Source organism: Homo sapiens, chromosome 15, assembly GCF_000001405.40.
Source record: "Homo sapiens chromosome 15, GRCh38.p14 Primary Assembly".
NCBI classification, from domain to species: domain Eukaryota; kingdom Metazoa; phylum Chordata; class Mammalia; order Primates; family Hominidae; genus Homo; species Homo sapiens.
Window position 1 is genome coordinate 43,699,289 of NC_000015.10, and position 19,011 is coordinate 43,718,299.

Genomic DNA, 19,011 nt, shown 5'->3' on the forward strand with positions numbered 1-19,011 from the left:
TGGGATTATTTATGATGGAAAGAGACTCCAGATATGGCAACCCAGGAACACTGATTCTCAGGTGGGTGGAAAGCATTAACATTTTACCCATATTCCTCATCAGCTTCTGAAAATAATCAGGATGCACTTCTGTTTGCACTTTATTCATTATGACTTAAGATTTCTCTCCCCACAATCTCCTTCTACTGTAGAGACAGGCTCATAGCAGGTGGCCAAGGAAGCTGATAGTCAATACCAGGGACCAGGAAGGTCGTGACCAGTCCTGGAGGCCCCAGGCTGTACTTCGACCTATAATAGACAGGGAATGGGAGTAATATCACAACTCAGCTCTCCAGGAGCATTGATACTTGGAAATTAGCGCTCTGCCTGTAGACTCCTTCACTCCAGGGATCTCCCTGGGTGCACTCTAAGAGCCAGACAGCACCAAATTAGGGGTTTGATTCTGGGTCAGGAGATGGAGGATCAAGCTGTGCAGCTGGGAACTCACCTTGCTGTTCTGGGCTCTCCTTTCCCTCATGTTGGGCCCATGCAACTGCTCGTCGCTGCTCAGGACTCAGAAAGGCCATTTGCTCAGGAGTGACAGCCACAGCCTGAGCACTGGCGAGACTAGATAGTTGGATGGGACTAAACACCACCTGAGGGCAGGGGTAGGAATCAGTGCATGCATGTAGTCCCCATTGGGCCCTGGCTCTCCTGTGGTCACCCCAGTCCATTAATACTTACAGCAAATTTAGGAGGAGGGATGACAGAAATGGCAAGAGGAGTAACGCCCTGGATCTGTCCCCGCAGCAGTGCTGAAAGAGCCAGGTCTGGGATCCCAGCTGTTGAAGCAAGTGGCATCCAAACATTGTCTTAGACTGACCTTCCCTCTCTTCAAACCTATAGACCTTCTCTAACTACTCCCAAAGTGCCCTATCATAGACCTTCCCCAATATGTCTCTAGCCCCTTATTTAAACACCCTCTCAGGCCCACACCTGAAGAATTGCAGGGCAGTCTTCCATCCAGTCCACCCATGGTATAGAAACCAAACCAACTTGCACCAGCAGTGGCCCAGCTCCCCACCTGCTATGGTGCCAATTTCAGTGAAGATCTCAGGCCCCCAGTTACTGATTGGGCCAAACCCACCAGGCAGTACAAAGAGGTGGGCCAGAAACTCCAGTTGTTCCTCAGAGCACTGCAGATGCAGGGTGCCCAGGAAGAGAGCTGCTTGGCTGTAGAACAGTGGGAAGGAAGGAAGAAGAATTCGGCTTCAGTGAAAGGGACTGTGGTCATGAGACAAAGGAAGAGATGGCTTCAAATGAGTTCCCTTCCTCCATGGGACTATAACTTCATGATCCTCCTTTCCCCAGCAAGTCCACCTTTACCTGAACACGACCACCCTCAGCCCCTTCACAAATGACCTAAACTCCCAACTGCTGATGTGCTGGAGCTCCTCTGGCCGCAGTCCACAGAGAGTATAACCCAGCGCTGTCAGATGAACGAAGTCCAGGTGGCTCACATGCCGACCACTCTGCCGTAGGAAACTGGAGACCACAATGCGGAGCTGGGGTGGGGGGTGGGAGAAGAGGGGAAGGAGGAAAGTTATGGAGAATTAATGGACAGGGAAGTGATAGGTGTTACTGGGTTATATTCTGTTACTATTAAGACCTAAGGAGTCATGGGGAAGGCTGAGGACTCAGAAAAGAAAAGGAAAGAAAAAGAGGAAGCCTCCAGGAAAAGAGGTAGGAGACAGTATTATGTGTCCAGGGCCTCAGAGTGAATAAATCAAGAGTCCTGAAGGTCACTAGTATGGGATATTAACAAAAGACAGAAAGAATGACCAGGTAGGGTCACAGGAAAAAATTCCTTGGGCTTTAGATGATCTATAGGGCTGGGTCTGTGGGATGGGTGTTTGGGAAGCGGTAGGGAGGAGTAAAAGTGTTACCTGAGTGGAGCTCCAGCCATCTATCTGCCCCAGGGTGCTCAGCACTCCCCAGTCCACTAGGATCAGCTCCTGTAGTTCCTGATCTCCCAGACCTATTAAGAGTCTACCGAGCTGCAGGATCTGCTCAGGACCAAATCCCCGGGGGGGACCCCACAACTAGGAGAAAGAGAGGAACAATGTGAGTGGAAAACCAGTAGATTGGGAGTCAGAATGCTGGGTTTTAAGTCTTGCCTCTGACCTTAGCTGTATAACTCTAGGCAAGTCACTTGCCTTTTCTTTGGTTTCCTCCACTATAAAATGAGACCGTTGCCTTACAGTTCCTCTAAGGTGTTTTGAAAGACATTACAATCAGTGGAAAAGAAGAGCAAACTAACTCTAGTCCATGAGTTCCACACTTTTATGTGCATCAGACACAGAGACGCTTATTAAAATGCAGATGCCTGGGGCCCAGCACAGTGGCTCACAGCTGTAATCCCAGCACTTTGGGAGGCTGAGGTGGGAGGAATGCTTGAGCCCAGGAGTTCAAGACCATCCTGGGCAACACAGCGAAACCTCATCTCTACCAAAAATACAAAAATTAGCCAGGTGTAGTGGTGTGCACCTGTAGTCCCAGCTTCTCGAGAGGCTGAGGCAGGAGGATCGTTTGAGCCCAGGATGTAGAGGTTACAGTGAGCCAAGATCACACCACCGCACTCCAGCCTGGATGCTGGGTGACAGAGTGAGACTGTGTCTCAAAAAAAAAAAAAAAAAAAAAAGCAGATGCAGATGTCTAGACTTTCTCCCAGAGGCTTATTTTTTAATTTATGAGACAGGGTCTTGCTCTGACACCCAGGCTGGAGTGCAGTGGTGTGATCTTGGCTCATTGCACCCTCCACCTCCTGCGCTCAGGGGATTCTCCTACCCCAGCCTCCTGAGTAGCTGGGATTACAGGCATGTGCCGCCACACCCAGCTAATTTTTTTTCTATTTTTAGTAGAGACAGGGCTTCACCATGTTGCCCAGTCTGGTCTCAAACTCCTGGGCTCAAGCAATCCACCTGCCTCAGCCTCCCAAAGTGCTGTGATTACAGGCACGAGCCACTCCGTCCAGCCTCCGCAAAGGTTTTTATTAAGTCAGTCTAGCATGGTAATCCAGCATTGGCACTGTTCCCGTGCTCGGTTCAGCAGCACATATACAAAAAAAAATTGGAATGATACAGAGATTAGCATGGCGCCTGCGCAAGGATAACACACAAATTCATGAAGTATGCCATTATTTTTTAAGAAAGAAAAAAAAAGAAAAAAGAAAAAAATCTGTTCCCTTGATGATTGTGATATGCATTAAAATTTGGTAATCACTGCTTTAGTCCCTCTATTCATTATAGTAGCTCTCTTTCCTCAATATTTATCTCTCCTCACCTTCTACTTGTGACCCAAATCTTCTAACTCTTTTATCTTCTGCTTCCCCCACCTCTCATCCAACTCTCTATTCTCTTCGTGTCCTACATCACACCCACACAGCTTCCTCATGGCCAACCTCAGTTGGCTCTCCGTCCCTGACCCATTTTGCTTTGCCCATGGCTGCCCGTGGTTCCTCAGGCCCAAGTCCTGGGTCTCCTGCAAATAGTGTCAGGCAGTCCTTAAAGTCTGAGAGCTCCATCTCAGCAATCTGGGTTGCAGAGCAGGCTGCTGGGAATGTCCCTCGTACATCTGCACAATTTGGCACAGGTTCTGAAGGGGGAAGGCAGGGCCAGGAGGTATCTGTAGATGGAATGACTCTTCCAACCTTTGGAGGATGGAGCACTGTGGGAAGTAGGGATCGAGGGAGTATTACAGGTTAAGATGTATAGGGCTTAGAAGTGAATTGAACAAGAAGTGATTGGAGATGCCAAGTCCCTCATTTTATAGATGGAAGACTGAGGATGTTGGTCAGGGATTTCATGGCAGAGCTGAATTTGAAACCAGTTCTCTAGCCTCACAATGTCTCCTTCGAGGGATCTCCCCAGCAGAGAGCTCCACACTTAGCCGAGCTAGAGCTGAGTCAGCTGTTTAAAGAGACAAGACAGCAGGAAAATGGAAGTTCTGGGCTAAAGGAAAACTTAATAGTTTACACACTCCCAGAGCTATAGAATTTTAGAACTAGACGAGACTTGAAGATCATCCCTCTAAACTCTTTGCTTTATAAATTAGAAAACCCAGTCCCAGAGAAAAGCACATGTAGAACCCAGACCGTTTGATACTCCCTGTACATCCTGCTGGACATATAAGTATTTGGGTAGTTTCACCTGGAAGATCCTCAGCAGCTGGTCGCACCACCCCTGCTACCAGGGCTGCTTTCTTGGCAGCAAGCTGTGGCCCCCTACACAGCTGTCCAACTCTGCTCTGCTCCCAGCTCTGCTGCTTTTCTAGAAGCCGCTCCAGGGTCTCTGGACCCAAGGCCTCCTGCATGAGAAGGTAGAAGGAGAGTGGGGAGATCTGGACAGATCAGGACCTGCTGCTATAGCTATAAGTCCAAAGTCCTGTCTCTGTTTCGCAGTATCCCCCCAGATCTAGGCTTCATATCCTTTGCCCTCGTTGGCCACGGGTCCCCATAACCAGCTCACCAGTCCCCTCTATGCATTTACTCCCTTCCCTTCTTCCTTCATCTCACCCTGGGGATCAAGGAAATTGCCTCAGTAGACAGAGTGAATACTAGGCGTCCAGCTTGCTCTACTTCATCCTGGCTCCACAACTCTGGTTTCCTGGGGACAGGAAGAAAATCGGGGGCTGGGGAGCTGAGGGAACTGTGAGGAAAAGGAAGGGGAAAAGAGGACATGCTAGGATTTCGGACACAGGGCTCCAAGGGCCCTTAGGAATATGGAACAGGCTGCCACTGATGATGGTGGCTGAGGGACTGGGTATAGAATGAGTTAGAATCTGAAGTTCTCGAAGATCCATACCCAAGAACAGACTCCTGCAATAGCAGCCATCCCAGCTCTGTGGCAAATGTCTCTCCTAGGCAGAAGCCTTACAGCTGACTGAGATGGGACAGCAGGATCTGTAGGGGGATCTGTCGTGTGCTCTCTGTCCCCAGGAATCCAACCAAAGGGCCTAAGGTCTCCAGCACTTCCCCTGAGACTGGAGTCTCCTTTGGAGCCTGGAGAAGAGCATCAGAACTTGGACAATGCACTTCTGACTCAGAATACCAGACACCTTGATCAAGACACCAAGCCCCCTGACCTTCCCTCCCTCCTGCTCCCAACTCAGCACCCTATGATGCTCACTACCTTTGTTCACTTTCTTAAGCAATGAGACCAGATAGGAGCAGGCAGAAAGACTGAGAGGTGGACTCCAAGAGATTTCTCGGACTCCAAGAGGTATGGACAAGTAACGTGAAGCATATTATCAAGGAACAGAACCCAGAGGCAAAACGGGCCAGGCCTTGTAGACAGGAACCTGTTTGGCAGCAAGAAAGCAAGAAGTAGAGGGTTGGAGGACAGTCAGAGAGCATTGTCTGAGGAGCAAGAATTGCCCAGGGCAGCAAATCTGAGTCTGGTAGGGTGGACTCTTACCAGGTTTTGTAGTGCCCTCTCTGCCAGGGCTGCCTGGTGGAGGGGGGTCAGTGCCAGCAGCTGCTCTGGAGCTCTTTGCACCAGCTCCACCACCAACATAATGGATTCATTGGATAGTCTGTCCATCAACTGGATTCTATTATAGCAATTTGACAACAATATCATTCAAGTGGAGCTGGGCCAAGTCGAGAAGGGACCACAGAACCCCACAGTCCCCAGCTAAGATGTGACCCCAGACCAAATTTAGTGAAGCTGGACAGGAACTGACAGTAAACAGCTCCAGGGCCAATTCCCACCATCAAGCTTGAGTGGGGGAGAAAAAGGGAGCAACATATTTCTAGTCTTCCTAAAAAAAAAAAATAACGAACAATCCTACCTGATCTAATGGACTCAAAAGCTCCAAATATTAAGTACCATTAACATTTCCCCATTTTATAGATTAAAAAACTGAGGTTCACAGAGATCAAATGTTGAGGTCTCTCACTCCCAATTCCCGTTTTTTTCCACAGGACCACCCTTCCTCTGCTTGTGAAGAGGTCCCTTCTTGTTTGTACGTGCTATACAATTTACAAAGTTCTTTCAGGTGTTATCTCATTTGATCCTACAACAAGACCTGGCCTCACTCCATCACTCAGGCTGGAGCACAGTGGTGCTGCGATCTCAGTTCACTGCAACCCGCACCTCCCAGGTTCAAGCAATTCTCGTGCCTCAGCCTCCCGAATAGCTGGAATTACACGCACGTGCCACCACGCCCAGCTAACTTTTGTATTTTTAGTAGAGATGGTGTTTTGCCATGTTGGCCAGTCTGGTCTTGAACACCTGACCTCCGTGATCCACCCACCTTGGCCTCCCCAAATGCTGGGATTATAGGCATGAGCCACTGCACCCAGACAAAATAGGTGTTTCTCTTATCCTTCTTTCACAAATGAGAAACTCAAGTTTTTTGATGCATGGTCTAGGATCTTTCACCTCATCTGTAACCTTGGGATTCTAAATTATCTCACAGAACCCACATATTTAAACAGATCTGAATGGCATTAAAAAAAAGTAAAAACAGGCCGGACGCAGTGGCTCATGCCTGTAATCCCAGCACTTTGGGAGGCCGAGGCAGGCAGATCACAGGGTCAGAAATTCGAGACCACCCTGAGCAACATGGTGAAACCCCGTCTCTACTAAAAATGCAAAAATTAGCCGGGTGTGGTGGCACGCGCCTGTAATCCCAGCTACTCAGGAGGCTGAGGCAGAAGTGCTTGAACCCCAGAGGGAGAGGTTGCAGTGAGCCGAGATGGCACCATTGCACTCCAGCCTGGGTGACAGAGCGAGACTCTGTCTCAAAAATATAAATAAATAAACAAATAAATAAATAAATCCCTTTTACCCGAAATCAGAGGTGATAACCTGTACCCTACCTAGGATTACCAGTTCTGGAACTGGGCTAAGTCATACAAGAGCTGAAATCTGTGGAAAGGCCTATAAAAATATAAGAATGTTGGGAAGCCGAGGTGGGCAGATCACTTGAAGCCAGGAGTTCAAGACCAGCCTGGCCAACATGGTGAAAGCTCGTCCCTACAACAAATACAAAAATTAGCCTGGCATGGTGGTGCACACCTACAGTCCCAGCTACTCGGGAGACTGAGGCAGGAGAATTGCTTGAACCTGGAAGATGGAGGTTGCAGTGAGCCGAGATCACGTCACTGCACTCCAGCCTTGGTGACACAGCAAAACTCTGTCTCAAAAAAAAAAAAAAAAAGAAAAAGAAAAAAGTAAGAATGAAGTCAACTGCTTTTACTCCACTTCAGCTCCATATTCCCCAGGAAGACTGTAACACCAGCATTTTCCTATCCTGACTTACAGTGCGGATGGCAACGGGGTGGTGGTAGGGGTAAAATGAGAAAAGCAGCATATGAGTAACATACTAATAAATTTCTCCATGGGTAGGGAGGAGCCTTGGGTTCCTATAGCCTTTTCTTCCCACAACCTGTATATGAACGTGCTCTACAACATTCCTGCCATGGGGCCATCTGGCTTAGGCTCGAACAGCTCCAAGGACCAGGAACTCACTACCTTAGTTTTTCTTATACTATGTAAAAATCTGATCTCCGTTAACTACTCTTAGTCTTGCCCAATGGGGCCACTCATAAATATGACAATCTAATTTCTACTTGATAGCCCCTCAGGTATTTGAAGGTATTTATCACATTTTTCATATATTTTTCTCTCGATCCACTCCTCTGAATGCACTAAGAACACAGTGCCCTGAGCAAACTACAATCCTCTGGGGCAGATTTGGAGCATTGCCTCCCTCACTTCAGATGCTCTGTCTCAATCTCAATTAATGTGGACTAGGTTATTGTAAGATTACTTGGCAGGCTTCAATACAGTGTTGCCACCCTCAGCTGCCCTGTGCTGGAGCATATTCTGGGAACCAGTCAATACATAGAGCAACTTTGAATAAAATCCTCTGCTTTGGGCTATAAATTATGTCAGGGAACTACCAGACAGAAAAACTACCTCCTCCAGGGCATTCCCTAAGGGCAGATCTTCACCCCAGATTGAGCTTTCTGAGGGGCCAATATCTCTAGCTGCAGTACTTACGGTAAGTCCAGGAGTAGCTTGCTATCCAGCCCGTTCAGTTCTGGCCCTACAGTTGTCCATTCTGGTTCTGGCATTGCCATCCTCCGCTGTAGCTCTGCCCAGATACAGGCCCTCTGTAGGGAAGCAGAGTGAGGCCAGAGCAGAACATAGGAGCTGGGTTCTATACCTAGGGTCCCAGCCTCCCTGCTCCCACTAAAGTCCAGGCATCCCCTCTCACCAGGCTCCCTCGAACTCTAGTGGGCAGCTGATAGATCATGTGCACCACTTCAAGGAAGTCTACCATGGAGTTGATCTGCTGCAGAAACTCACAGGACATGCCTCCTGCCAGGGTGCCCAGAGCCCTGTGGGTGTGTGAGTGGGGAGAGGCTCATTCAACACATACAACAGCCTGTTTGCTCCTTGATATCAGTACTCTCAACACAAGTACAGATGTTCATCCACCGTAATTTATGGTTTGAGAAATGTTTTTACATAGATATCTCATCAGCTCCCCATAACATCACTGCTGTTTATCAGAGGAGAAAATAAGGATTTATGGAAGTCAGGTGACATTCCCAACATCATTCTGCTAGAAATGTGGTAAACTGAAACTAGAGACATGTCTTAGATTCTGAAGCCCTTGGGAGGCTGAGGCGGGTGGATCACCTGAGGTCAGGAGTTTGAGACCAGCCTGGCCAAAATGGTGAAACCCCATCTCTACTAAAAATACAAAAATTAGCTGGGTATGGTGGCACATTCCTGTAATCCCAGCTACTCCAGAGGCTGAGACAGGAGAATCGCTTGAACCTGGGAGGCAGAGGTTGCAGTGAGCCGAAATCGCGCCACTGCACTCCAGCCTGGGCAACAGAGCAAGACTGTCTCGAAAAAAAAAAAAAAAAAGATTCTGAAGCCCATTGTTCTTCTAATGTGGGTATAAGTAAAGTGATACCTTCTTATTCCTATTTATTCTTGCTTGGCCAGTGCCTCTGAAGTCATCCTGAAGTAAACTAACAGTAGCAAATGACTACTGGAACTTTACAATGGACCAAACACTGTGTTAAATATCTTACATGACCTACCTCATTTAATCTTCACAGTAACTACCTATGAGGCTGGTGCCATTGTAATTCTCATTTAAAGAAGGGAAAACTGACACAGGGACGTTAAATGACTTGCCCAAGAGGACAAGTAGGTGACAGGACTGGAACCTGAATCCAGGTTTTCTGAGTCCTTTGGCTCTAGTCAGGATAGGCATGGCACTGTGGAAGGAAAGGAGGGCAAAGGGAGGTGCTAGGAGAACGTCCACGAGGCAGGGACTATGCATCATTCATCCCTATATCCCCCATTCCATATCATATGGTGCCTGGCACATAGTAAGCACTCAAAAAAATGTTGGTCGAATTCAGCGCACTGCTCAACACAAGTTACTCACTGTAGATTCCTGAGGGTCAGGTTGGTGGGTACTTGCATCTTCTTCCAGAGAAACTGTGCCTACAAGAGAAAGAAAGACGAGCCCCTTCCCAGAAGAGACACTGTCCAAGGATACCCCCTAGAGTGGAGAGGCAGGACTGCCTTGGACCCAGTCCTGCCTCCTCACTCTGTGGGACCCACCAGCCTCCCACTCTCCCAGATGCCCACTCTTCTCTCGAGAGTGAGAAAGAAATGAAAGAAAAGGGAAGGAGAAAGAAAAAGAAAAGCAAGTCACATTATAAGGGATACTAGGGGGCTGGGTGCAGTGGCTCAGGTCTGTAATCCCAGCACTTTGGGAGGCCAAGGCAGGAGGATTGCTTGAGGCCAGGAGTTCAAGACCAATCTGGACAGCATAGTACCTCAACATAGTGTCTCCACATAGTGTCCACATTTTTGTATTGTCTGTCTCTACAAAAAATTTAAAAATTGGCCGGGCATGGTGGCTCACACCTGTAATCCCAGCACTTTGAGAGGCAGAGGCAGGCAGATCACAAGGTCAGCAGTTCGAGACCAGCCTGGCCAATATGGTGAAACCCTGTCTCTACTAAAACAAAAAAAAAATTAGCCGGGCATTGTGGGGAGTGCCTGTAGTCCCAGCTACTCGGGAGGCTGAGGCAGGAGAATCGCTTGAACCCGGGAGACAGAGGTTGCAGTGAGCCAAGCTTGTGCCACTGTACTCAAGCCTGGGTGACAGAGCAAGACTTCATCTCAAAAAACAAAAAAAAAATTTAAAAATTAGCCAGGCATGGTGGTAACCACCTGTCATCCTAGCTATTCAGGAGGCTGAGGCAGAAAGATTGCCTGAGCTCATGAGTTTGAGGTTACAGCGAACTCTGATCATGCCACTGCACTGCAGCCTGGGCAACAGAGTGAGACTGTATCTCAAACAATCAAATAAAGGATAGTAGGGATAAGCTGGCCAAATAGGGCTAAGGGATAGGTAAAGAAGGTAGACTACATTGAGGGAGGAAGTTCTGAAATTAAGTGGGGAGAATTACCTGCTGCTCAGACCAGGGCAGCTCCCAGTAGCGTCTTCGATTTGCCAGAAGAGCCAAGGAATCCAGTTGTAGCAGCTTTAATGGGAGCAGGGGAAGCAGGCAGTCTGGCCAGGTGGTGGGAATAGGCTGCTGGCGGTGATGGGTATAGCAGTGTAGTGATAGGTGAGAGAGTCTGTACTTAGCACTCAGAGAAAAGGAACCATGGGGGTGGAAAGGGACCAAAGCTAGGACAGAAGTGGAATGGCATTTGCCACTGTAGCAATAAACGCCTAAGAGCCTCACACTGCAGGCTGCTGTGGTCAAGTGTTGCTGCTAGTTAGGCACCAGGCAAACAAAGTCCCTTAGCTTCTCCCAGCCTTGGTCTTTTCATCTGAAAGCAGGGTGGGTGGCCTGGAAGATTTCTCAGGCCCTTCCAGCTTTGACATTAGTCTAGGACAATGTGAGTGGATCATGCTGTCCTGCATCTGGCACTGGGGAGGGCTGCTAATGGGCACAGAGCTAACCAGAACTCTCAGGGCCACTGCAGGGTAGTGTGGGAGGTAGCACCAGCCATATGAAACTGCCCCAGAATGGGGAGAGGAGCTCAGTTGGGAGATCTCACACTTACCTGACCAGGGATGCACACAGCTGGACCAGCACCTGTTGTACCCATATTTTTAACACCATCTTTAACCTGCATGAGAATTGGTTGTGTGTGTGTGTGTGTGTGTGTGTGTGTAAGTGGGGAGGTATGAAAGGCCTTCCCTGGCCTCAGGGAAGATGCCTTCCTCCCAACCAGAAAGAGCCGGTATCCCTGATTATCTCATCCTCCTTGCCACTCTCATACCCGAAAGGTCTGCAGCAGTGCTGCGGTCTGGCAGGCTGAGAGGCGTGACAGTTCAGGGGCCAGGCAGGAACAAGCCCCGACCAGGACTCGCCTAGGGATGGCCTGGAGTGTCTGGGGGCTGAGGCCTGGTAGCAGAAGGTGCAAGGAGCAGAGTTCCTCCAGGGATAGCTAAAGAGCAAGAGAGACAAGAGGCCTGAAGAAGAAGGGAAGGGTGTTGGGGAAGACAACAATCACAATGCAGCAAGGCAGTAAGTATGAGGGGAGCGGAGAGAGAGGAGGGGCAGATGCAGGAGCCAGGTTAAAAGAGGATAGAGACCTCTGGCGGGAGGCTGAGAAGTTGCTGCTACTCACATCGTGCCTAGGAAGGAGCCGTCCAAGCAGCAGGACAGCCTGTGTTGGGATGGGACCGAAAACAACAGCTCTCAGGACCCAGCAGCCAGGTCCTAAGTGGGTTCCTAAGGCAAACCCTCCAAAACTTCCCGCTGCCTCTTAACCATCCCCAGTAACCATCCTCAGTGACTCAGGTCCCTTCTTGATCTGAGGAAAGGGAATGAAGGCGTCCTCCTGCAGACAGAGTTTACCTCTACTGTTCACCCAGGGAAAGGAGGGGCTGCTTTTATCCCTGAATGGGATTCTCTTGACTGGGGCTCAAGCGGGGATGGAGGGTACATGCCAGGGAGTGAGACAGGCAAACCTGAGCAGGTGTAACACTAGTTCCCTGCAGGACAGGAAGCATGGCTCTAAGCTGGGGCTCTGACAGCTCCTGAAGGAAGCGGAGGCCCAGCTGAGAGAAGAGAGGGGCCCAGACCCGCAGCTCCCGGGGGCTCAGCACCGCTCCTCCAGATGAGCGCAACACACCCAGAAGTTCATATGCCACCTGTAACCAAAGAAGGTTTAGGACTGGAGAGAAAAGACAGATGAACCTTGAACTTCCTCTCTAATCCCACATCTGAATTTCCCAGGGCCTGGGCTAGGGTTTGGAACTAGGGATTGGACTGGAGTAGATTAGGTTCAAAATGGCAAAGGGTATGTTTGGGGTGCTACAGACCAGATAGAGAAGGGCCAGGAAGAGGTGGTAACAGGTAAGAATGGCCATGGAGTAAGGAATGGAGGTTGCAAAAGTGGGATGGGGGCTGGCACCACTGTGCTCAAGTTGACACAATGGGAAAGCCATCCACACAGACCCAGGGGAAGCCTAAAGTCTTGTAGGCTTGTGCTGAGGGGCTCACCCGTCCTTCTGGGCTGAGGGTCCCATTGGCTGCACATTCCAGCAGCCCCCGTTCTACTGGCCCCGTTGGATCACTCAGGGGCACTAGGCTCTGCAGCTCCTCAGGGCTCAGGAAACAGGCGAGGGGCCCAAGCCTGAGGAGGGCATGAAGCTGACCTTTGTGTGGTCCCCAAGACTAGCACTAAGGCAGGCCTGGCAGCAGATGGTATGGGTACATACACTGGGCACTCTGACACTACACCACTACACAGGGGCACCATCTATAGACCTCTCTCCTGGAACTCTATGCTGCCTGAGGCCACTGCCTACTCTCTTGCCCCTTTCTTCCTAGAACACCGACCCAGCGTGACAGCTGTGCCTTCCTCTCTCTACCTCTTCCACTCTTGCCTTGGTTACTGATCCCACAACAACTCACCTGCGTACCTGCTCCTCACCATCCTGGACACTCTGGTTTACCAGGCTGCGCAGCACATGGCGGGCATGCCCTGGCCCCAGACCTGCTGCTGGCCAGCTATCCTCCAGGGCCTGGATCTGAGATGGGGAAGGTTAGCTCGCACTGGGGTCACTATAGGGTTCTTGCAGGGAGGGGCCACTGAGAGACATGCCATTGACTCTTTGTCCCCACTAGCAGAAGATGGGCCAGTCAAGTAAAGAAGATGATTCTCATACCTGGTGAGGGCTGAGCTGCAAAAAGTTCTCCAGAGGGAGGTGGGGGAGCAGGGGCAGCACTGCCCACAGCAGCTCCTGGGGCCAGGCAGGCACTTCCCCAAACAGTTCAGGGGCCAGCAGTCGCTTTGCCAGAGCCTCCTTCTGTTCAGGCCTCATTCCTGGGCTGTAATCCCGGATGGCAGCCAGGCTGCGAGGAGTCATGGGTCTTAACCCTTTGTCTTCCTCCAAACTGTTTTCCTCTGACCCTCTGTAGCCCTGCTGTCTAGATAGGAAGGAGACTCTCCCTGTTTTTTTGTTTTGTTTTGTTTTTTGTTTTTTTTAAGACGGAGTCTCGCTCTGTCACCCAGGCTGGAGTGCAGTGGCACGATCTTGGCTCACTGCAACCTCTGCCTCCCAGGTTCAAGCTATCCTCCTGCCTCAGCCTCCAGAGTAACTGGGACTACAAGCGCCCACCACCATGCCTGGCTAATTTTTGTAGTTTAATAGAGACAGGGTTTCACCATATTGGCCAGGCTGGTCTCGAACTCACTAGGCGGACCTAGTGATCCACCTGCCTCGGGCTCCCAACGTGCTGGGATTACAGGCATGAGCCACCACGCCCATCCTCTCCCTGGTTTTAATAGAGAGGAGCTCTCTGATCCTTTTGTAGTTCATTAGCATAATGATTGGGTTTTCACACTCAGGCGTGAGATGTGCCTCTCTCAAACCTTGCTACGATGTTGGCACATTGCCTATCTGGCATGAAAGAAAAAAACAGAGAGGAGCTCCGGAAGGGGCTGCTCCAGGTGGATGCGGTTGGCCTGACCGTGACAGGAGCAGGAGGAGTAGTGCAAGAACCTTACACACTGTCGTTGGCTAACAGGGATGGTGGGAAGCGCATCAGGTCAGAGACAGCCAAGAAAGGGATGAGTGGTGACAGGTCAATGAAGAGCTGGGAGGTGAGGCGTGGGTACCGCTGGAGCAGCAGGGCTGTCAGGCGACCCAGGGCCTGCTCCTCGGATGGTGGTACCTGTAGGGGCACAGGAATGGATTCTGCCTCTGGAGATGCTCAGTATCCCTGCCATTTCCTCTCTGGAGTTCCTCCTCCCACTAAAGCAAGCCCTCTGAACACTAGGCTCCAGGTGCCCTTGCTCCCCTTTCTCAGTGCTCACCTGCAGCTTCCCCTGCAGCTTCCCCTGCAGCATGAGTGTCAGGAAGCCCTGTGCAGCCTCCCTCTCTGCTGAAAGCACCAGCTGCTGGAGGTTTTCTGGGGGCATATGCAGGTACGCCTGCGAATAGGAGGTCATGGTGGGTATGGCCTCACCTCACGGGGCAGGGACCTCCAGCCATGGCTGTCACCCAGCCCACCCATGTGCCCTCCACCTGTTACCTGCACTAGAATCTGCAGGGCCCAAACACTCTTTTCCCTCTGGAGCAGATCCCACAGCACAGGCTGGTGGGAAGAAAGACAATATGCCAACAGAGCTGTCTTCTCTGTCTCTCCTGCAGCTCCCCCAGGCATTCCAACTCCACTTGCTGGGATGCTTGTCCATCATCTCAAGTGTGATTCTTCAGATATTAAGCTCTTTTAGGTCCGGGATCATATCTCTAATTTCTCTTGTACCCTCTCCCATGCCAGGTCCATAGTTGGCTCAATTAATACTTGTAGACCTGAACCAAATACTATGAGACTATCTAATTCCATTTTACTGGGCCCAGGGTTTGAAAAAGGTGGCCCCAACATGGAGTAAGAAATCTTTATATATCCTACAGAACCTAGCAAAGTGCCTTGCATATAATAGGCACTCAGTGAATTAATTATGGTGTTTAACATATTCTCACCCCTCCATTCTACAGACTAAAAACTGAAGCCCAGAAAAACTAAATGAAATTGCTTGCCTAAGATCACACTAATTTGTGGCACAGTTGAACCTAGAACCAAAGTCTTCTGATTGGTAGTGTCCCTGAATCTTTCTCATTCCTACCTTATCTTCCTGTATTCTGCCAGCCTCCAATTCTCACTCTCTAGGGGAAAAATTTAGAGTCCTCTAACTTGATCCTTTTTCTTTCTGGTGCAGAAAGTGAGAGAGTCAAAGAGCCCAAAAGAATAACAAGGTAATATTTATTGCATGTTTGTGTATCATGCACTGTGCTAAGCCCACAGCATGTATTATCTCATATACCATTATCATCCCTAGTTTATAAATGAGACGAGAAAAATATTGCTCAGAGAAGTTAAATAACTCATTCAAGGCTGGTCACAGAACCAAGATATGAATCCAAGCCTGTCTGACTCTAGAGCTGTGTGCTTCAACTACTACCCCACACTACTGCCTCTGAGTATTCGAGGAATTCCCCTGGAGGGCCTTCTCACTGTTCTAGGAGCTTTCCCTCTGGCAGAGCACTCACACTAAAGCAGGCCAGCAGCTCCATCTTGCTTATACCAGAGCTGGGGTTGACAGTGGGTTCAAAGCCTGATGGGGTTGGCTGCTCCTCATCTTGTTCCAGGTATTCCCCAATCGTCCGTAGCACACTGCGCCGGCCCTCTGGGCGAAAGGCATCCCAGAAGGAGCAGTTGTCTGGGAGACTGGAGAGCAGTAGGGCCCGACCCAGCATCCCCTGGGCCTCAGCGCCCCCAGCCCCTGGACCCAAGAGGAAGGTCAGCAGGCGGAGGAGATAGTGTAGGCGTGTGGGGTGAGCAAGAGCTGGGACAGAGGACTGACAGCGTGGCAACTGGGATAGCATGCCAAGGAGGAAGGGGCCAGGGGTCAGACAGAGTGGGGATGGTCCCAGTGGTGGCAGAGAGGGCAGAAGGGGGCCCAGCAGCCCTTCTAGGAAGCAAGTGTCATTGCCCCCACGACTTATCCTGCATTGGCCTGCTAGCCAAGGCCAGAAGGGCACCAGGACCTCATACATGGTGTCATTGGCACAGACCATCACCAGGAAGCTGCCCCCATCCGGGCAGCGTTCCCCACAGGGTCCAATGTGGCATGGTGGGGAGGCAGTGACATCTGGGGTGGGGCCCTGGCACACATGCTGGACCCAAGCCTGGTTGCTGGGGGGCACAGCCTGTAGACTTGCCTCCCCACACAGTCGCTCAGCCCACAGAGTCTCATTCTCCAAGAAGCAGCCCCAAAAGATGTCTGGGGTGAGGGGAACAGGGGGCAGGCCTTCAGGGCAGCTGGTAGGGGGTGGGAGCAGGCCAGCACAGAGCCGCTTCACCAGGCGGCGGTTGGAGCCAGACAGGGCTGAAAAGGAGAGGTTACTGCAGATCGCATCCAAAAACTCATCAGGAAACTGGTCGTGGCAGGCCTGTAGCCAGCCTTGGGCACCTGGTGCCCAGGACACTGCATACCACACAGCTGTCTGGCAGATGGCAGTGGTGCTGGGATGGGGCTGTGGAGTGGCAGGCTTGGTGTGCTGGCAGAGCAAGTGGATGGAGAAGTTGGAAATGCTGTAGGGTGGTGCTGGGCCTAAGTGGTTCTCACAGAGGGCCTCCACAGTGATGGCTCGCCGTTGGCGTGGGCTGATGTGGGCTGACGGCTGAGAAGCTCTGGGCAGAGGCACGCCCGTGCTCAGGCAGTGAAGGAGGGCAGGGGGTGGGGGTGGTGATCCAGACAGAAAGCCCAGCGCCTGGACATCCCAGGAAAGGTTGTGCCGGACGCCCCTGGGTGCAGAGGGAGGAGCAGGCAGGATCTGGTCAGTTCACATTTCCTCCAGCTGAAGATTCTGACCCTGACTCAGAGCCCTCAAGGGGCATGGCAAGCATAGGCTTTTCTACAAGCGAGGTCCCTGAGAGTTTAGGCGTTACTGGTTGAAATGCTGCAACGGGGCAAAAAAGAGAAAGCTGCCCTGCCAAGGTCCAAAATCACCTAGGAGAAGCCCCAGTTGGAATTCTTTCTGTCCACCTGGCCCCCTTCTGTCTCCTTTCTTCATATGCTTTTAGATAGCTTAAACACAACCCTCAGCGGGCCTCATGTTAGGAAATCTGCTCAGCAACTCAATATGTCTAACTACTGTCTGGCATTGTTGTACTGAAGTAGTAAGGGGGTAGAGGAATCCAGCTGTGTCCTTATTTTCCAAATCCCATCTTTACTAGCTAACATTATTAAGCGCTATGTGCCAGCACGGTTTTAAGTCGTTTGCATACACAGTATCAACTCATTTAACCGGGTGCAACAACTCTGTGGTAACTAATATTATCATTCTCATTTTATAAATGGGGAAACTGAGGTATAGAAAGACTATGTAACCTGCTCAAGGTCATATGGCTAGGAAGAGGTGGAGCTGGGACACCAACCCAGACAGTCACACCCCAAAACCACTAAACTACACTCCTCCCATCAGTTTTCCTCTCTAGAGGCTGAGGTCTTCAGCTCTTCACCTCCAGATTTTCCAGGCCCAATCCCTCAGAACTGGTCTCCTGTTACTTACCATAAGAGCAGCTGTTGAAGGTTACCTAGGAGGGAAAGAGTAAGGAAGAAAACTACCCCAATTTCACTTTCCTTGCCCTGCCACATCCCAGTCCCAGCCCTGGCCACACTCACCTCCCTGGCACTGCCCATTGGTATCAGGCTCTGGCTGCCCCAAAATGGAGAAGACCTCATCCTGCAGGGAGTGAGTGACACGGAGCAGCCCCTCCTGAAAGGCAGCATAGAGGGGGGCCCCCACTGTGCGTAGCAGACCGCCCCAAAGAGCCTCCTTGGAGCCTAGCTCCCCTGTTGGGGTAAGCAAACCCAACAGACCCTGCAAAAAGTGAGGAGCTGCCTCCCTCCCATCGAGGCCTGTGGCATTGGTGGGGTCCACACTGGGCTGCACCTGCACCAGAGCTTGCCAGCGTGTGCCCTCTAACAACAGCAGCAGAGAAGGCAACCAGTCAGCAGCCAGGACACAGTCAGACGGCCCATCACGGGTGCATGGGGGCTGAGTTGGGGTAGGGGGGCCCCCAGGAACTAAGGCTCCCAGCAGCACCTCCACAAGTCCACCCAGCACCCCTGCCTGGTGCACCAGGAAATCTCGGGGAGTCTGCTCCTGTCCCAGCAGTGCCAGCATATCCCCTAGCAGCCCTAGCATTGGCTCCCAGTCGGGGCTACCTCTCAGTGTCACTAGAAAATCATGGAGCCGCAGAGCAGGCGGCTGGAGAGGTGGGGGCTCTCCTACTGGTCCTTCCCCCATTCTCCCAGGCTCAAAGGAAGAAGAAATGTTGGCCAGGAATGTAAAGAACCGTGAGCGGCTCAGGGAGCCCTGGGGAGCCTGGTCCAGAGTGGAGAGCAATGACTTCAGGAAGGAGAGACCAGGGTCCAGGGAATGAGGCCCAGTAGGGGCCAGAGTCACTGTAAGGAGAGAAACCAGAGGTCACTGAAGGAGAGGAACACAGAGCCCAAACTCAACCCTGCCCCTGAGCACAGTTCCCTACCTGGATCTAAAGATGAGGTGAGGGGATGGTGAGCTGAACCCCTTTCACTGGCCTACAGTAAGTCTTGGCCTGCTTTTCTTAACCCTCATTTTTCCCTTTTGCACAAGTCTCTGCCTCTCTCCTTTGTCCTTCTATCTAACAGGTTCACCTCCATATTCTTAAAGTCTTTTTCCAGCCACCCTCCTCCTCATCCCCAGTTCTGCTCACTGTTCTTCTTACCTGCAAAGGACAGCAGCAGCAGCAGCAGCAGCAGCAGCAGCAGGGGCCAGAGGCTGAGAGCCATGTTTCCAAGTGAACACTGGTACCGGAGGTGAGTTCTGGTTATTCTCACCTGTGTGGGATAGCCAGGTGAGGGCAGGGCACTGCAGGCAACCTGAGGCTCCACTGACACTGTAGTG

General features: G+C 51.0%; 1 non-coding gene and 2 pseudogenes across 2 annotated transcripts; 2 read left to right on the forward strand and 1 right to left on the reverse strand.

Annotated features, from left to right (window-relative positions):
- Window positions 1-129: 129 nt before the first annotated feature.
- On the reverse strand, window positions 130-18,972 carry STRCP1 (stereocilin pseudogene 1; annotated as a pseudogene). The gene is made up of 28 exons (NR_146078.1): window positions 18,833-18,972; window positions 17,745-18,530; window positions 17,632-17,656; window positions 15,607-16,864; window positions 14,588-14,650; window positions 14,370-14,486; window positions 14,061-14,227; window positions 13,219-13,480; window positions 12,965-13,080; window positions 12,016-12,198; window positions 11,673-11,711; window positions 11,322-11,489; window positions 11,103-11,168; window positions 10,496-10,621; window positions 9,460-9,518; window positions 8,266-8,389; window positions 8,049-8,161; window positions 5,454-5,589; window positions 5,169-5,337; window positions 4,842-5,038; window positions 4,553-4,643; window positions 4,188-4,344; window positions 1,926-2,081; window positions 1,402-1,544; window positions 1,064-1,212; window positions 724-821; window positions 488-635; window positions 130-288 (listed from the first exon to the last, which is right to left on the reverse strand). The product of NR_146078.1 is annotated as a stereocilin pseudogene 1 (transcript).
- On the forward strand, window positions 3,075-3,182 carry RNU6-353P (RNA, U6 small nuclear 353, pseudogene; annotated as a pseudogene).
- On the forward strand, window positions 13,856-13,959 carry LOC124903599 (small nucleolar RNA U13). Its single transcript, XR_007064826.1, has one exon. It is a non-coding gene; the product is annotated as a small nucleolar RNA U13 (small nucleolar RNA).
- Window positions 18,973-19,011: the final 39 nt, after the last annotated feature.